We start from the raw sequence: 17,905 nt of genomic DNA, 5'->3' as shown, positions 1-17,905 counted from the left end.
ATGTTTATAACAGTCTGATCTGGCATCTCCTCGAGAAGGAAATCTCTGCACGGTGTGAAAGTGCTTATAGCAGCCCAAAGAGAGCCAGGCCAACTGGGCCAAAGAAACTGCTTATTGACAACACCTGTATCTCAGCTCATTTCTACACACATAGGCTGGAAATGTCTGCCATGAAATTTCAACTGTTTACTTTTTTTTTTCTTTTTTTTTTTTTTTGAAGCAGGGTGTGGCTCTATCACCCAGGCTAGAGTGAAGTGGGCATAATCATAGCTCACCATAGCCTCAAACTGCTGAGCTCAAGCGATTCTCCTGCCTCAGCATCTCAAGTAACTGAGACTACACGCGTGCACCACCACACCCAGCCTCAATTGTTTACTGTCTAATAAATCAGCAAATCATTTAGCTCAGGAAGTCAAAGTAGAGCCATGGACCACCTACATCAGATTCACCTTGGGGTTCTTACATAAAAGGCAGACTTTGGGGCTCCACTCCAGACCTACCACCAAGTCAGCCTTTTAAATTAAAAGCAAGTTTTTAAAACCTTGCCTTAGAGAAGGTATTCTAAGTGTGATTCTAACTGAACTGTATGATTTACTGCCTCAATTGACTAGCTAGTATTGTCTAGGTAATAACCACCTCCGACTATATCACTTAATTACACTCTCTGGGCCCATGTACCTAGGTCAAGAATGGATCTAGGAGCCATATAGTGGCCACATCTTAGAGGAACCCTGGGTAGTGCCAAGGATCCACCCAGGCTGGGTAGGGTCAGGCATCTGTTGAAGCACCAAGCTGCATGATCTTGTGATTTCTCTATAATGTGTTCAGTACCTACAGAACCCTCTAGACTGAGACAGCCTCCACTTAATCTACTTTTGAGGAGGGAAGATAAGAATGTGTAATGCCACATAAGGGAAATGAGAATTATAGAAAGCAACTGAAGTAATTTTAGCAAGAATATATATGCTAATATACTGAAACTACAAGTTGAATCTCCTGTGGTTTTTCTATTAACTTTCAATCCTCCCTCACTGGAGATTAGTAAAATCATTAGCTGGATAGAGTGAAAGGAATTATCTTTTTTCCTGGTCTGATCTGGATGTTCTTTCTTTGTCTAGCATCTGCATTGTGTCCTGCTTCTCTTCTATTTAGACTGCTCTTTGCTGGAATGGTCGTTCCTCATTATTTGACAAGACCAGCATTCAAACACTTCCAGACTCCCTTGAATGTTCGAAGTCTAGATCCTGCATGCTGAGATGGCATGAATTGGATTTCTGTGCTCTATCTCACTCTCTAATCAAAGTGCTTCCCCCAGAGTCCCAATCCCTCTGAAAAAATGTCTGTTCCTGGAGAAAACTACGCAGTTCTCAGTCTGCCCTTCGGCTCCGTGCCTCCTAGAGGTTGCCTGTCACTGTCAGAGGAAGACTGCAGGTCTCTTCACTTTACTAGGTGAGTAGACATTCTAGGTTGAGACCTCTCTACTCTGAAAAAATTCCCAGTTACACAGAAGCCCTTGCATTTTATCATATTTCCTGTTATCAAACACTCTCAAAGTCACCTGAGGTCTTTCTGCCTCTGTCAGGCAGGCTATATGCCCCTGACTTGCATAACCCTCCCAACCTGTCTGCAGGTAAAAGAATGAAGTGAATTCTCCCTTCCTGAGGGGCATAGTACACAGGTAACCAGTCTATGACATTCTGCTTTTGGGAAAAGCAGAAGTTGGTGGGAAGCTTCTTTGTCTAGTGGGTGTTCTGCTGTCACAGAGCAGCCCACGAGGTGAGGCACAGGTTCATCCATGTGGTTCGTGTTACCTGCAGAGATGTTCATATGTTAAATGCAGAGATGACGCTGCTCCTGTTTGCTGTGTGCTATAGAACAAATTCACAATCCAGGAATGTTCATAACAGGAGCTTTGGATGCATGAGAAAGAGGCAGTAAAGTTGAAGGAGGCTCTTCTATTCTCCTCCCTTAGGAATAAGTTTAGTTAGTGCCCATCTAGTTCAAATAAAGATAATAATCATGTAAGTATTAAAATTTTTATTAAAATTTGAGCTATTGTTGAAATCAGATGATAATATGATGAGTAGAAAGAGAATTTTACTTGATGCTTTATAGGCATTGATGGACTTAAAATGAAGTCCTCTAAAGTGGAAGCTGAATTTTAAACTGTCCTTGGATTTTGTTCAAATTCAATTTTCAAAAGAATGAGGTGCCACAATTTTTTAAATCACTCCAGAAGATTAGTCTTTCTCAAAAATTGGCTATTCCTTAAGGAAAACATTCTATAATGAAAGGCAATAAAGATCTGTAATTGCATGAAATGAGACTTTTCTAATCAATTTGGGCAGGGAACTGAATCAACTTGAAAAAACTGGGCTGCAAATTTTTGATCTTCCAACTAAATAAAGCACCAATAGAGCCATTTATATTTGCTGTTGTTTTTTAACCAGAATTATTTTGAAAATAGAAATTATATAAGACTAAATTATCAAAATAGGAACTTGATGTACTAGAACTACCTTCCTTGGGAAAGAACAAAAAGCATTATTCTTGATTTTTAAAATGGATTTAGCTGTAGAAATATCATCTCCCACTATGCAGGAAAAAGAGACATACATAAGTGTGACAATGGATCCAAGACACTCATTTATTCATTCAACAGATATTCATTTGTACCAAGAACTGGTCCAGCCAACGCATGTAATGGCCGTTTATTTTCTTTAGTCTTTTGGATCAGATACCAATAATACATTGCTAGCAGAAACATTTCCAAAGATAAAGATGTTTATAAAGTAAAATTGTTCGGCTGGGTGCGGTGGCTCATGCCTGTAATCCCAGAACTTTGGGAAGCTGAGGCAGGCGGATCACTCGAGGTCAGGAGTTCGATACCAGCCTGGCCAACATGGCAAAACCTTGTCTCTACTAAAAACACAAAAATTAGCCAGGCATGATGGTGGGTGCCAGTAATCCCAGCTACTCAGAAGGCTGAGGTATGAGAATCACTTCAACCCTGGAGGAGGAGGTTGCAGTGAGCTGAGATTGCGCCACTGCATTCCAGCCTGGGGGATAGAGCAAGACTCTGTCTCAAAAAAAAGAAAAAAAAATTGTTTTCCTTCCAATATCACCTCAAATGGGTGTTAACAAAGCTTTGTTAATCCCACTGAAAATTTCAAATGAATTCATCTGTGCTTCTTCATTTACTTAAATAATCATACAAACAAATATTTTTCATTTTCCTTATATTACATATGTTATAAACACAGGCATGTATATATACATATTACTCTATAACTTTTTCCACTTTATTATATGTTGATATATGACTAAGACAACATGTAGGGATATACCTTTTTATTTTACTTAACTACACGGTGTTCTATAGTCTAAATTTCTATAATTTAAAAAATGCAATTATTACCTTATTGAAAGATCTTCCATTTTTTCTTGTTTTTATAAAAAAGAAAATTGCCACAATAAGCATTCTTTAATATATAAATTTATATGCAAATAATTTTTCTACAAATATATGCTCAAATATATACATAGTATATCCATTTTTAATTTTCATAAAAATGCCAGATTACTTCAGCATGAGCTATGTCAATTTATAAGCAACCCACAATGTGTGTGACTTCTTCACATCCAAGCCAGCACTTGATATTATGAAGGAGGAAACATTTTAGGTTTTCCAGCTGGAGCGCTATAAACTGACTGACAAAAGACAGATGAACTAGAGTAAAACAGAAGTTTATTAGCAAGTGCATCACTCATACACATGACAGCACTCAGCAATGAGTAACTCAAAGGGGTGGTTAGAACTTGGGCTTAAGTAGCATCTCAACAAAAGAACAAAAAATTTTAGAGAAGTGACAAGGAAAAGGAAAAGGAGTTTGAGTCTCCAGGACCCCAAGTTGTGGGAAGGCAAATATATGGCGGAAACAAATGGAAGATAAAGACTAGTTAGTGTCGTTTGTTAAGTAGATTCCCCTAATGCTCTGATAAAGGTTTAGAGTTGTCTCCAATGATTAAATTCTGTCCTTCCTGGTAGAGAGGGGCAGGAAGACACTGTAACAAATTTGTATCCTGCTTTTAGGCAAATAGGGAAGGGCAGAGAGCTTTGCTTTGCTTTTTCTCAGTTGTCTTAGGCTCAAAATAATCCTTTGCCAAAGTAGCGTATATTGGAGTGGCTTAGTCCACTTCAATATTAGCAATACTTTGGCCGGGCACGGTGGTTCATGCCTGTAATCCCAGCACTTTGGGAGGCCAAGGCTGGTGGATCACTTGAGGGCAGGAGTTCAAGACCAGCCCAGCCAACATGGTGAAACCCCGCCTGTACTAAAAATACAAAAATTAGCCAGGCATGGTGGTGCACATCTGTAATCCCAGCTACTTGGGAGGCTGAGGCAAGAGAATCACTTGAACCTGGAAGGTGGAGATTGCAGTGAGCCAAGATCACGCCACTGCACTTTAGCCTGGACAACAGAGCAAGACTCCATCTCAAATATATATATATGTGTATATATAATCAATGTTTTAACTTGGAATCCAATAGTTTAAAATGGTAGCTTGTTTTTATTTTAATTTGCATTTTCCAGATGACTAATAGAGTTCATATATTTATTGAACCTGACGGGGCTCAGAACACCATACTCCAGAGTATGGTGCCTTGGCATGCTAAGTATTTTGACTGAAGGAGATTGGAGGCTGCAGAAGCCTGCAGGTCTCTCACCTTCTCTTGCCCTCCTTTCTCCCACCATCCTTGCTCCCCTAAAGCAAGTCATGGAAACTAAAATTCCTATCCCACAAAGTAAGCTATAAAACTTACAAAGGTCACTCTCTGATTTCCTCCTTTCACCCCTGAAGATCCTCATGTGACAGGTGTCCTGCCCCATGGGGACAAGGGATATCATACAGAGACACAGGAAAAAATCTGAATAAACAGACCTAGCTAAGTCCTCCACCCCACTCCACTCCCCTGTTTATTACTATTAGATAATATCTCTTTTTGTCCAATTATCTTTCTCCACATCTCCACAACTATTTCTTTCATCAGACTAAGCATAGAAATGCACAGTCTTCCCTGGGTGTTTGGGTCTTCATTTTTAAGGCTCCAGTGTCACATAAAACTTTGGTTAAATAAATGTGTTATCCTTGTCTCTTGTTAATCTGTCTTGTGTTATAGGGATGTCAACTGTGAACCTTGCGATGGGCAAAAAAGATATTACTTTTTCTCCCCTACAGACATTTTCTCTTTTCTGTGGCCTGACTGCTGATTTTCTTGGCTCATTTTTCTACTGAATTGTTTATAATTTGCTTGCACATTTGCTAGAAGCTCTTTGCAATACAATCCTTTGTTATGTGTATTGCAAATGTTTCCTCTCAATCTATTTGATTGTCTTCTGTTTTTGTGTTTTCTTTTGCTGTGCTAAAGCTTTTAATTTCTGTGTAAAAAATTCTGTCAATTTGTATTATTTATGGCTTTTCTTCTCTCTTGGTTAAGAAGGTTACCCCCACTACAATCTCTATCCCAAGGAAATATAAAAATTATCAGGGTTTTGTAGTCTTTACTTTCATGCGCGTCCCTGTAAAGAGAACAGCAAACAGGCTTTGTGTGAGCAACATGGCTGTTTATTTCACCTGGGTGCAGGCGGGCTGAGTCCGAAAACAGAGTCAGTGAAGGGAGATAAGAGTGGGGCTGTTTTATAGGATTTGGCTAGGTAAAGGAAAATTACAGTCAAAGGGGGCTTGTTCTCGGGTGGGCAGGAGTAGGGGTCGCAAGGTGCTCAGTGGGGGAGCTTTCTGAGCCAGGATGAGCTAGGAAAAGGACTTTCACAAGGTAATGTCATCACTTAAGGCAAGGACCGGCCATTTACACTTCTTTTGTGGTGGAATGTCATCAGTTAAGGTGGGGCAGGGCATATTCACTTCTTTTGTGATTCTTCAGTTACTTCAGGCCATCGGGGCTTATACGTGCAAGTCACAGGGGATGCGATGGCTTGGCTTGGGCTCAGAGGCCTGACATTCCTGCCTTCTTATATTAATAAGAAAAATAAAACAAAATAGTGTTGAAGTCTTGGGGCGGCGAAAATTTTTGGGCGGTGGTATGGAGAGAGAATGGGCGATGTTTCTCAGGGCTGCTTCAAGCGGGATTAGGGGTGGTGTGGGAACCTAGAGTGGGAGAGATTAAGCTGAAGGGAGGTCTTGTGGTAAGGGGTGATATTGTGGGGATGTTAGAAGAAATATTTGTCGTATAGAATGATTGGTGATGGCCTGGATACAGTTTTGTATGAATTGAAAAACTAAATGGAATAAGAGAAGGAGAAAAACAGGTATAAAAGCACTAAGAATTGGGAGGACCTAGGACATCTAATTAGAGAGTGCCTATGGAGGTTCAGCATAGTCCTGCCAGCAAAGATTATTTATTTACTTCAAGAGTTAAGAGTGGCACTTTGGAGATAGCACAGGAGATATCAGCTGTGATGGCTTGGAGAAACAGTGTAAACCGGCAGTGTAAACAAGAGCAGGGCATGTATGAGTAGTTGAGAACGTGAATAGGAGTATGACTAGACAGAAGATAGTAGGGATGACAAGTTTTCTGGGGCACAGTCGAAGTTAGTCTTTTGTCTGGAATGAGACTGGGGCCTAATAAAAAGAAGCATCCATACAGGAGGTTAAATGGGCTATACCTTGTAGCATTACATGTCTGACTTCTGAGAAGGGAAAGTGGTAAAAGTATTGTCCAGTCCTTATTAAGTTGGTGGCTGAGCTTGGTGAGGTGTGTTTTTAATAGACCATTAGTCAGTCACTGAATACTAAGAGCCTGAGAAAATGCTTGGCTGATTTGACTAATAAAGGCTCATCTGTTATCAGACTGTATAGAGGTGGGAAGGCTAAACTGAGGAATTATGTCTGACAGAATGGAAGAAATGACTGTGGTGTCCTTCTCAGACCCTGTAGGAAAGGCCTTTACTTATTCAGTGAAAGTGTCTATTTAGACTAAGAGGTATTTTAGCTTCCTGACTCGGGCATGTTGAGTAAAGCTAATTTGCCAGTCCTGGATGGGGGCAAATCCTCGAGCTTGATGTGTAGGGAAGGGAGGGGGCCTGAATAATCCCTGAGGAGTAGTAGAATAGCAGATGGAACACTGAGAAGTTATTTCCTTGAGGATAGATTTCCATGATGGAAAGAAAATGAGAGGTTCTAAGAGGCAGGCTAGTGGCTTGTACTATAGCATAACCTCCCTTTGCTGGTGTGTGGCGATTAGGCCTGGTGGAACCACCATCAATAAATCAAGCGTGATCAGGGTGAGGAACGGGAAAGAAGGAAATATGGGGAAATGGGGTGAATGTCAGGTGGATCAGAGAGATACAGTCATGGGGGTCAGGTGTGGTATCAGGAATAATGTGGGAGGCCGGATTGAAGTCTGGGCCAGGAACAATGGTAATTGTGGGACTTAACAAAGAGTGAGTACACCTGAAGGAGCCAGGAAGCAGAAAGTATATGCATCAGGTATGAGGAAGAAAATAGATTTTGGAAGTTATGAGAACTGTAGAGCGTGAGTTGAGCATACTTTGTGATTTTGAGGGCCTCTAAAAGTATTAAAGCAGTGGCAGCCGCTGCACACAGATATGAGGGCTAGGCTAAAACAGTAAGGTCAAGTTGTTTGGACAGAAAGGCTACAGGGTGTGGTCCTGGCTCTTGTGTAAGAATTCTGACCACGCTAACCATGCCAAGGAAGGAAAGGAGTTGTTGTTTTATAGAAGGTGCTGGGGTTTGAGAGATCAGTCGGACACGATTGGCAGGGAGAGCATGTAGGTTTTTCTGAGAATTATGCCGAGATAGGTAACAGATGAGGATGAAATTTGGGCTTGATTGAAGTAATGGGGGCTGTCTGTGAAGCTTTGCGGCAGTACAGCCTAGGTAATTTGCTGAGCTTGATGGGTGTCAGGGTCAGTCCAAGTGAAAGCAAAGAGAGGCTGGGATTAAGGGTGCAAAGGAATAGTAAAGAAAGCATGTTTGAGATCTAGAACAGACTAATGGGTTGTAGAGGCAGGTATTGAGGATAGGAGAGTATATGGGTTTGGCACCACGGGGTGGATAGGCAAAACAATTTGGTTGATAAGGCGCAGATTCTGAACTAACTTGTAAGGCTTGTCTGGTTTTAGGACAGGTAAAATGGGGGAATTGTAAGGAGAGTTTATAGGCTTTAAAAGGCCATGCTGTAGCAGGCCAGTGATAACAGGCTTTAATCCTTTCAAAGCATGCTGCGGGATGGGATACTGGCATTTAGTGGGGTAAGGGTGATTAGGTTTTAATGAGATGGTAAGGGGTGCATGATCGGTCACCAAGGAGGGAGTAGAGGTATCTTACACTTGTGGGTTAAGTTTGGGGGATACAAGAGGAGGACGCAAAGGAGGCTTTGGATTGGGAAGAAGGGCAGCAATGAGACGCAGCTGTAATCCAGGAATAGGGAAGCAGATAATTTGCTTAAAATATCTCGGCCTAATAAGGGAACTGGGCAGGTGGGGATAACTAAAAAAGAGTGCATAAAAGAGTGTTGTCTAAGTTGGTACCAGAGTTGGGGAGTTTTAAGAGGTTTAGAAGCCCGGCTGTCAATATCCACAACAGTTATGGAGGCAAGGGAAACAGGCCCTTGAAAAGAAGGTAATGTGGAGTGGGTAGCCTCCATATTGATTAAGAAGGGGATGGACTTACCTTCCACTGTGAGAGCTACCTAAAGCTCGGCGTCCGTGATGGTCTATGGGGCTTCCGAGGAGATCAGGCAGTGTCAGTCTTCAGCCGGTAAGCCAAGAAGGAGTCAGTCAGAGAGCCTTGGGCCAGAGTTCCAGGGGCTCTGGGAGTGGCTGCCAGGTGAGTTGAACAGTCCGATTTCCAGTGGGGTCCCACACAGATGGGACACGGCTTAGGAGGAATCCTGGGCTGCGGGCATTCCTTGGCCTGGTGGCCAGATTTCTGGCACTTGTAGTAAGCTCCTGGGGAGGAGGTTCTGGAGGAATGCCTGGCCACTGCAGTTCAGGCGTTTGGAACTTCTTGTGTGCTGGAGATGTGGCTGGGGTTTGTCTCACAGTGGAGGCAAGGAATTGCAACTTTTTTTTTTTTATTATTATTGTACACCTTGAAGGTGAGGTTAATTAAGTCCTGTTGTGGGGTTTGAGGGCCAGATTCTAATTTTTGGAGTTTTATTTAATGTCGGGAGCAGATTGGGTAATAAAATGTATATTGAGAATAAGATGGCCTTTTGACCTTTTAGGGTCTAGGGCTGTAAAGCGTCACAGGGTTGCTGCCGAATGAGACATGAAGTGGGCTGGGTTTTTATATTTGATGAAAAAGAGCCTAAACACTATCTGATTTGGGATAAAGAAAAAGGAGCATTAACCTTGACTATGCCTTTGGCTCCAGACACCTTTTTAAGAGTAAATCGCTGGGCAGGTGGGGGAGGGCTAGTCACGGAAGGAAACTGTAAGCCGGACCAGGTGTGAGGAGGGGAGGTGATAAAAAGATTACAGGGTGGAGGAGCGGAGGCTGAGGAAGAATTGGGACCTAGCTCAGCCTGGCGAGGAGGGGAGAGGTCAGATGGGTCTGCAGAAAAGGAAGATTAGAAAGACTCAGTGACGCTTGGGGTTGGGACTGAGGGGACAGGCGGGAGGGAAAGAAGGAAGATTTGGGACGAGTTGCACTGGGCACAGAGACTAGGAAGGGACTGATGTGTAAAAGAATGCCTGGACTTCAGGCACCTCAGACCATTTGCCATTTTACGACAAGAATTATTTAGATCTTGTAGGATGGAAAAATTGAATGTGCCATTTTCTGGCTATTTGGAACTCCTGTCGAGTTTATATTGGGGTCAAGCAGCATTGCAGAAGAAAATAAGATGCTTAGATTTTAGGTCAGGTGAGAATTGAAGAGGTTTTAAGTTCTGAAGAATATAGGCTAAGGGAGAAGGAGGAGGAATGGAAGGTGGAAGCTTGCCCATAGTGAAGGAGGCAAACCCAGAGAAAAGAGTAGAGACACAGAGAAGGGGTTGGGGGTTCTTGCCCTCCAGAAAAGCAGAGAAAGGGTTGGGGCACAGAAATAAGGGATTGGGGTGCAGAGATAAAGGTTGGGGCATGGAAATAAGTGATTGGGGGGTTCTTGCCCCCTAGGAAAGCGGGACTTGCCGCTAAGGGTGAAGGAGAAGGGGTTGAGGGGTACTTGCCCCTGCCCCAGGAAAGCGGGACTTGCTGCTAAGGGTGAAGGAGAAGGGGTTGAGGGGTTCTTGCCCCTGCCCCAGGAAAGCAGAGAAGGGGTAGAGACAAGGAGAGAAGGGGTTGAGGGGTTCTTGCCCCTGCCCCAGGAAAGCAGAGAAGGGGTAGAGACAAGGAGATAAGGGGTCGGGGTACTTGCCCCTTCCCCAGAAAAGCGGGACTTGCCGCTAAGGGTGAAGGACCAAGGCAGGTGTCCCTGCGTGGTCTGAGACCCTTGAAACGTGGGTGTATAATCAGAGAGGCATCCCTGCAATGATTAAACACCAAGGGAAGGCTGCCTTCCCAGTCCGTGACCGGCGCTGGAGTTTTGGGTCCACAGATAAAACGTGTCTCCTTTGTCTCTACCAGAAAATGAAAGGAATTGAAATTAACAGAAGGGAGAGATTGAAGTGTGGCGCCAAGATTGAAAGGAGAAAGAGGTTGAGGGATAGTGAGGGAGGTTGGAGAAGAGAGTAAAAAGAGGCCGCTTACCGGATTTGAAATTGGTGAGATGTTTCTTGGGCTGGTTGGTCTGAGGACCTGAGGTCATAGGGCGATCTTTCTCACGGATCAAAGAACAGGAGGACAGGAGACTGGTCTCCTAAGGGAGGTCCCCCGATCCGAGTCACGGCACCAAATTTCATGCGTGTCTGTGTGAAGAGACCACCAAACAGGCTTTGTGTGAGCAACATGGCTGTTTATTTCACCTGGGTGCAGGTAGGCTGAGTCAGAAAAGAGAGTCAGTGAAGGGAGATAAGGGTGGGGCTGTTTTATAGGATTTGGGTAGGTAAAGGAAAATTACAGTCAAAGGGGGTTTGTTCTCTGGCGGGCAGGAGTGGGGGTCACAAGGTGCTCAGTGGGGGTGCCTTTTGAGCCAGGATGAGCCAGGAAAAGGACTTTCACAAGGTAATGTCATCACTTAAGGCAAGAACTGGCCATTTACACTTCTTTTGTGGTGGAATGTCATCAGTTAAGATGGGGCAGGGCATATTCACTTCTTTTGTGATTCTTCAGTTACTTCAGGCCATCTGGGCTTATACGTGCAAGTCACAGGGGATGCGATGGCTTGGCTTGGGCTCAGAGGCCTGACATTTACAACTGTAGGTTCCAATATCTTTCAGAGCTAGCCTTTGCCTGTGTTTGTTTTTCTAGAACTCTTTTTTTGTACACTTATGTATAATCTCTTCCTATGCTCCATCCTCTGCATTGCCCTGGATTTAGTAACAGGGGTTTGTTTGTTTTGATTTGTTTTATGGTTTTTGTTTTGTGCCTTGTTTTTGCAGACTTGATCTGTTCTGCCAAAGAAGAAATCAATATGGGAGTCATTAGCAAGGGCAGCTTCATTTTCAAAAGGCCTAGAGAGAAGAAAACACATAATACGACCCCCATTGCTCAACACTTCCTGCCACATGTCTCTATGCCCACACATTGGCACATTATAGCACCCCCATACAACATGGCATGGCTTCAAATTCTTCTCAGTAAAACACCTGTAACAGACTGTTTTTCTCAAAGACGTCTGCAACTGTACCTCCTACCCCAGGTGCTTTCTAGAACCTTGCTACTCTCTCTTTGAGAAGTGGAGTCTGATTCCCCTCCTCTTGAATGTGGGCAGATTTGAGGCTCACTTGTAACCAACCGGGTATAGCAGAAGCAACTCTGTTGGCATCCCAAGATTAGGTTATGAAAAATAATGCAGCTTTTTCCTTATTACCTGAAATGCTCACTCATAAGGATAAAATACATGCCCTTGAAGTCTTTAGCTGCCAGGTAAACAGTTCAATTACCCTGAGGCCACTATGCTGTAAGGAAGGCTAGCCCTATAGAAATAATATATGTGTGTATATAAATAAATTTGTGTATATATACATATGTATACATCTATAAATACATATATAGAGAGATGCCAACCCCCAGCTGCTGCAGACCCCACTACACCAAACCACTGTCTGACTGAACTACATAAAAGACTTTGAACCAGAATTGCACAATTGAGCTCTTTCTGAAATCGTGACCTACAGAAACCAAGAGTGACAATAAAGTATCTACTGTTGTTTTAAGCCATGAAGTTTTGAGATGTTTTGTTAGAGAGCAATAAATAATTAGAATGCCATACTAGATAGAAACAACCAATAGAATGAAGTTGGCCATGAGTTCAAACCTATTTACGTCCTTTGCCTAACTATAAATGAAACTTTAGACATCTATAAGCAAGATATGTTTCAAAAGAGGGCTTTTATAGGTTCTGAAATAACTCCATGATTTTGTTTCCTACTCTTGGGTATAATTCTGGTTTTGCTACCTTTCTAGAAAATTATTCCCTGCACTTCTGCAAAAAAAATTAAATAAATAAGAAAATTGTAGAGAACTGAGGACTAGGGCCACATAGAACAGCTGTCTACCACCTTCTGGTTCATTTCTGCCCCTCACTTGACATGCCTAGATAAAACTTCTTTCAGCAATTCCCAAGGGATTGTCTGTGTTAAGATGCTCAAAAGTCTGAAGGGGAGTTAATTTCTTAATATACCTTTTGATAATCTTACAAACATTCATAAATATGATCAAACAGATGCTTCATCTTATTTTTTCCTGATTCCCACTTGCCCTCTGCCACCTCAATTCCCCACATACACACCATCTCCAAGGTAACCCCTGTCAGCAATTATATCATCGTTCCATATAATCCTATACAGCCAGACATGCATGTATATGACTGTACAAAAAAGCTAAAGCTTTTAAACTTGTCAGTCCCACAGACTGTGTTCACTGCTATGTGGCTGATAGCAAACTATGCCTCCCATGCCTTCTTCTTTGCCTCCTACTTACACCTTTATAAAATTCCCACTCCGTGATCTTCTTTCTCACAGGGATTACTTTAATTTAGATCATTTGAAGCCCTAACATTGCTGCTTAGGCTTTCATCTCTCCATTCCTCTTTCTCTCCTACCATTATGTTCTTTTTAGCAATGTTTATTGCTATACTTCTGACCTCTTCTCAGGGAATTCAGGCACTAAAACAGATGAAAGGCTAGAAATGAGCATTACTCTTGAGAAGGGTGGTTGACAAAAGCCTTAGTCCTTCTTGATTTGGAGAACAGACAATGCCTCGCCAGATGGGTTCACTGACCTCTCCCTTTACTGATCGCCTTGCTGTTGCTTCCACATCAGCTACATATTCCAGGAGGGAAGTTAGAAAAGCCCTATTAGCTTTTCCAGTTATCACTCTCCTATTGTCACCATAGCGACAGATGTTATATGAAATCAACTGCTTTATTGTGAAAACAATGTCGGTTGAAAACTGGCCTTGAGGAAGTTGTGAAGATGAGATTCAATTTTGATATACTCCCTGTGGGTTTTCTTTTCTATATTACTTTTTTAAAAATATACTTTATTGCAGTGTAATAATATAAAATAAAGTGAAAAGTCAAAGGGTCATCTTTTGAATTTCTTCAATGGTTCCTTGATTTAATGGTATGAGAAAAGGTCTTGGAGGAAGACTTGAAAATAAATCAAACATGTACAAATTCACAGAACATCAGTGCAGCAAAAGAAACCATAATGAAATGTGTTGTGTATTGAACACTGACTGGAGTAATTTTATTCTTCTGAATGTAAACATGAAATTCTATGTCTGGATCAAAATCGGGATTAAAAACACATACACTTGGAATCTGATACCTTCCCATTAACTAATTAGAACCTGATTCATTGGAAATGAGACCATTTAGAATCTAGATGGTTCCAGAAAATCAAGTTAAATAATGGCACAACTAATGTTTGAATCATAAATAAGATATACAGAAATCCAGGATGGAATAATACAATAAAGTGAAAATAAAGGAGTAAGAAGTTCATATTATTATCACCAGTTTGTGCTGACAATGAATTTAGGAGACATGTTACCTAAGGGACATCTTTCTACAAATGGCTGGGGAGCATCATTCATTGACTAAGCCATCAAGGTTCAAAGGACTTTGAACTAGATTTGATTTCAAAGACATATTTAAAAAATGCCTGACCCTTGGCATAAAATTACCCAGGACTCTGTCAGGCATATGACAAATAAAGTGATATACACCAACTGCAAGCACCAGGAATTAGAATGAAATAATTAGATGGTGGATAGACACAAGTGTAGTTTCAGTGTCTAATCATGTTTTCATAACCACAAATTAGAATTTAGGTATATTGCAAGACACATTTATGAGCTTCTTTAAAACATTATGAATATCAAGTTGAGTAACTGTACCATGTATTAACCTATTTCTTTGAGGCTAAACATCATAATATATGGTAATTCATATAGAGAGAATTTTCAATTAGGAAATGAGAACATTTTGAAAACTAAAGAATGAGATTTAGTTCATGTCAAGGAAAGGTATGATTATGTTCATATGTTTATTATGCTAAATCTGGCTAAGAGGACTTTCTGGAAATAGAAGGCATTGGTATCAGAAACCTAGATCCAAACCTTGGATCTGCCTCTTTCTAGCTATGTGATTTAGATGAATTCCTTAACCTCTAAACCTCAGTTTTCTTATTTGTAGTATCCACCTGGCAATGGGTTGTAAGGATTCAGTGAGTAAATGCAAAGAGCTTATTTCAACTCTTAGGATATGGAACTATTATTATTGTTAGTATTATTCAGCTGTGCAATCCACCAATTTTAACACCTATTTTTCAAACATTAGGAGTTTAAGCTAATAATATACATTTTTAAAGCTAATTTTATGCATGTCCTTATTGAACTGGTACAAAAAATATATCAGTTGCTCTTCACATTCACATTGATGCCAAACAAGGCCTCAAATCTACATATTCCATCATCTGATATTTCTGACCAGGATTAGAAATTATCTTAGGAAATACATCTGCAAACAGTTTCCCTGCAGAGTATGCAATAATCAGAGCTGTCAGAATAAAACAGGCCAAGAAGTAATGAGAAGAAAAGAAATTGGAAACAAACTGATGTGCTTAAAATACTTACTGCCATGATAAATATTAGCCTTACATTTGCAGTATCACATTAAAAGATTATAAATGTCAATTTATTTGTAAACTAAGTTGCCTAGGATTTAGATCAACAAGCTAATGTCATGAGTAAATGGGCTCCTTCAGCAATCTGAGGCATAAGAAGAAAAGTAATTGGGAAACAGTGAAGGATTATACAATTATATTACATTTGTTAAATCTAGTGAATTTGGCAGATAACCATTTGCCTCTGAAATTGGCTTCTGGGAAATGAAAAGAACCCAGGGAACATGTAGAAAAATCAAATTAAGTTTGGATAAGAGCTTCTGAAAAGGCAGTGTCCTTCTGTTCAGAAAGCTACACCTATCTTGTGCCTTGTTATTTCAGAATCACAAGTTTCAATATCTGAAGTAACATGATTTGGAAGCAGTGGGTCTCAGATCTTTTTAATATTACAGTTTTTTAAAGAGCTCCCTAAATGTCCTCTGCATCAAATCTCCCAAGCAAAAGAAATCATCTTTGGGCCTGCAAGGTAGCTTGTACCTTTAATCCCAGCACTTCAGGAGGCTGAGGCAAGAGGATCACTTGAGGCCAGAAGTTCAAGACCAGCCTGGGCAACATAGCGAGACCCCACCTTTACAAAAATAAAACTTAGCTAGGTGTTGTGGCACATGCCTGCAATCTCAGCTACTCATGAGACTGAGGCAAGAGAATCACTTGAGCCCAAGAGATTGAGGCTGCAGTGATCTATGTTCTCACACCTGCACTCCAGCCAGGTGACAGAGTGAGACCCTGACTCAAAAAGCATATATATGTGTTTTTTAGAAAAAGAAATCATCTTTGGCATTTTCTTCAGTTGTCACATCAGATCTTAAAAGCAAGAAGAGAAGACTTTCAGGGAAGAGCCTGGAGACCAGGTCTGTCTCCAGCTCATGGTGATTACCCAAGATCCTTTACCACCTCCACACATGGTGGCCTGGGGCCGCACATTCCCCTGGCTAGCACTGACCAGAGGCGCTCTTCTGGATTCTTGACCTCAACCTCCAACCACAGTCCTCTTCTCCACTACTCCAATCTGAAAGGTACCATTTAGTTTCCAGTTTCCTTCTGTCACAATTGTTTCTTATGACTGGGAAGGTAGTATAGTGTAAGGCAACCATGAAATTAAGTAATTGACCAACTGTGTAGAACTAAAGTTAAATCTGATGTCTGACCTAGAAGAAAACAAACTGAGAAACACATTGTTAGTGAGACAAGTGATCTCAACTTCTATCACTTCTCTCCTGGCCTAACTAACCCTAGGACAAATAACTATATTGCAAAACCCCCAGGGTACAGACGACTTGTATATACAGTCACCCTCCATATCCATGAGTTCCATATCTGTGGATTCAACCAACCACAGATCAAAATTACTTGGGCGGGGAGAGGTTGCATCTGTATGAATAGGTGAAGATTTTTTTTCTTGTCATTATTCCCTAAACAATACAGTGTAACAACTATTTATGTAGCATGAACATTGTATTAGGTATTCTAAGTAATCTGGAGATGATTTAAAGTCTAAAGAAAGAAGAAGGATGTGTATAGGTCATAGGCAAATACTACAACATTTTTTAAATCAGGGACTTGAGCATCAGCAGGTTTGGTATCCATGGGGAATCCTCCCATTCAGAGAAAACCTCCAGGAGCCTGAGTTGGCCCAGTATCTCCTCAGAGTCTCTCTTCTTATGACTGTTCTGCAGTTGTGCTTCAGGCAGGCACTTGAGTAGCAACACCCAGCAGACCCCAAACTGTCAGTTCCAGAATTTTTCTCTGGGTTTCCTGGGACTGCCTGGCCCACCTGAGACTATATACCCAAGAGGTGGGCTGGAACACTGGGCTAGTCTGTGGGAGTGGAGAAATGAAGCACGAATAGCAGATTCCTGTGAACAGTGAACTTTAAGGAAAGGGGATTTCCTGAAGGAAATCACATGGAGAGGCTTGGGGCATTATGCTGTGCCCCCCTTTCTTCAGTTAACATGTTTTTCTTGGGAATTCAGGTATACAGGGTACTTGCAATTAGAGCTGCTGAGGAAGGGATGACTTCCTTTTTTTCAAGTGAAAGTAAGTATATTAGGAAAGTAAAGAAAGAATGGCTACTCCACAGGCAGAGCAGCAGCATGGGCTGCCCGACTAATCACACTTATAGTTATTTCTTGATTATATGCTAAACAAGGGGTGGATTATTCATGAGTTTTCTGGGAAAGGGGTGGGCAATTCCTGGAACAGAGCGTTCCTCCCTCCATTCTTAGACCATATACAGTAACTTCCTGATGTTGCCATGGCATCTGTAAACTGTCGTGGTGGTGGTGGGAGTGTCTCTTAGCGTGCTAATACATTATAATTAGCATATGATGAGCAGTGAGGATGACAAGAGGTCACTTTCATCACCATTGTAGTTTTGGTGGGTTTTGGCTGGTTTCTTTATCACAACCTGTTTTATCAGCAAGGTCTTTGTGACCTGTATCTTGTGCTGATCTCCTTTCTCATCCTGTGACTAAGAATGCCTAGCCTCTAGGGAATGCAGCCCAGTAGGTCTCAGACTTATTTTACCCAGCCGCTATTCAAGATGGAGGCACTCTGGTTCAACCAGCTCTGACTTATTTCCCCCATCCCTTTTACAAGGGAATCCTTAATCCTAAGGATTGTAG

General features: G+C 41.6%; 7 annotated features.

Moving 5' to 3' along the window:
* Positions 5,004 to 5,691: an enhancer, noted in NCBI's record as "OCT4-NANOG-H3K27ac hESC enhancer chr6:131665584-131666271 (GRCh37/hg19 assembly coordinates)". NCBI's record gives its function as "activates a minimal SCP1, AML or CMV promoter by ChIP-STARR-seq in primed H9 embryonic stem cells {active_cell/tissue: H9 hESC(primed)}" and the evidence as "EXISTENCE:reporter gene assay evidence [ECO:0000049][PMID:30033119]".
* Positions 5,692 to 6,380: an enhancer, noted in NCBI's record as "OCT4-NANOG-H3K27ac hESC enhancer chr6:131664895-131665583 (GRCh37/hg19 assembly coordinates)". NCBI's record gives its function as "activates a minimal SCP1, AML or CMV promoter by ChIP-STARR-seq in naive and primed H9 embryonic stem cells {active_cell/tissue: H9 hESC(naive and primed)}" and the evidence as "EXISTENCE:reporter gene assay evidence [ECO:0000049][PMID:30033119]".
* Positions 6,381 to 7,068: an enhancer, noted in NCBI's record as "NANOG-H3K27ac hESC enhancer chr6:131664207-131664894 (GRCh37/hg19 assembly coordinates)". NCBI's record gives its function as "activates a minimal SCP1, AML or CMV promoter by ChIP-STARR-seq in primed H9 embryonic stem cells {active_cell/tissue: H9 hESC(primed)}" and the evidence as "EXISTENCE:reporter gene assay evidence [ECO:0000049][PMID:30033119]".
* Positions 8,377 to 9,330: an enhancer, noted in NCBI's record as "H3K27ac-H3K4me1 hESC enhancer chr6:131661945-131662898 (GRCh37/hg19 assembly coordinates)". NCBI's record gives its function as "activates a minimal SCP1, AML or CMV promoter by ChIP-STARR-seq in primed H9 embryonic stem cells {active_cell/tissue: H9 hESC(primed)}" and the evidence as "EXISTENCE:reporter gene assay evidence [ECO:0000049][PMID:30033119]".
* Positions 10,287 to 11,242: an enhancer, noted in NCBI's record as "OCT4-NANOG-H3K27ac hESC enhancer chr6:131660033-131660988 (GRCh37/hg19 assembly coordinates)". NCBI's record gives its function as "activates a minimal SCP1, AML or CMV promoter by ChIP-STARR-seq in naive H9 embryonic stem cells {active_cell/tissue: H9 hESC(naive)}" and the evidence as "EXISTENCE:reporter gene assay evidence [ECO:0000049][PMID:30033119]".
* Positions 11,243 to 12,198: an enhancer, noted in NCBI's record as "OCT4-NANOG-H3K27ac hESC enhancer chr6:131659077-131660032 (GRCh37/hg19 assembly coordinates)". NCBI's record gives its function as "activates a minimal SCP1, AML or CMV promoter by ChIP-STARR-seq in naive H9 embryonic stem cells {active_cell/tissue: H9 hESC(naive)}" and the evidence as "EXISTENCE:reporter gene assay evidence [ECO:0000049][PMID:30033119]".
* Positions 13,036 to 13,553: an enhancer, noted in NCBI's record as "NANOG hESC enhancer chr6:131657722-131658239 (GRCh37/hg19 assembly coordinates)". NCBI's record gives its function as "activates a minimal SCP1, AML or CMV promoter by ChIP-STARR-seq in naive H9 embryonic stem cells {active_cell/tissue: H9 hESC(naive)}" and the evidence as "EXISTENCE:reporter gene assay evidence [ECO:0000049][PMID:30033119]".

The sequence above is a fragment of the Homo sapiens genome, chromosome 6 (assembly GCF_000001405.40).
Source record: "Homo sapiens chromosome 6, GRCh38.p14 Primary Assembly".
Taxonomy (NCBI): domain Eukaryota; kingdom Metazoa; phylum Chordata; class Mammalia; order Primates; family Hominidae; genus Homo; species Homo sapiens.
The sequence above is the reverse complement of the archived record's forward strand: the minus strand, read 5'-3'. Positions and strand labels throughout refer to the sequence as shown.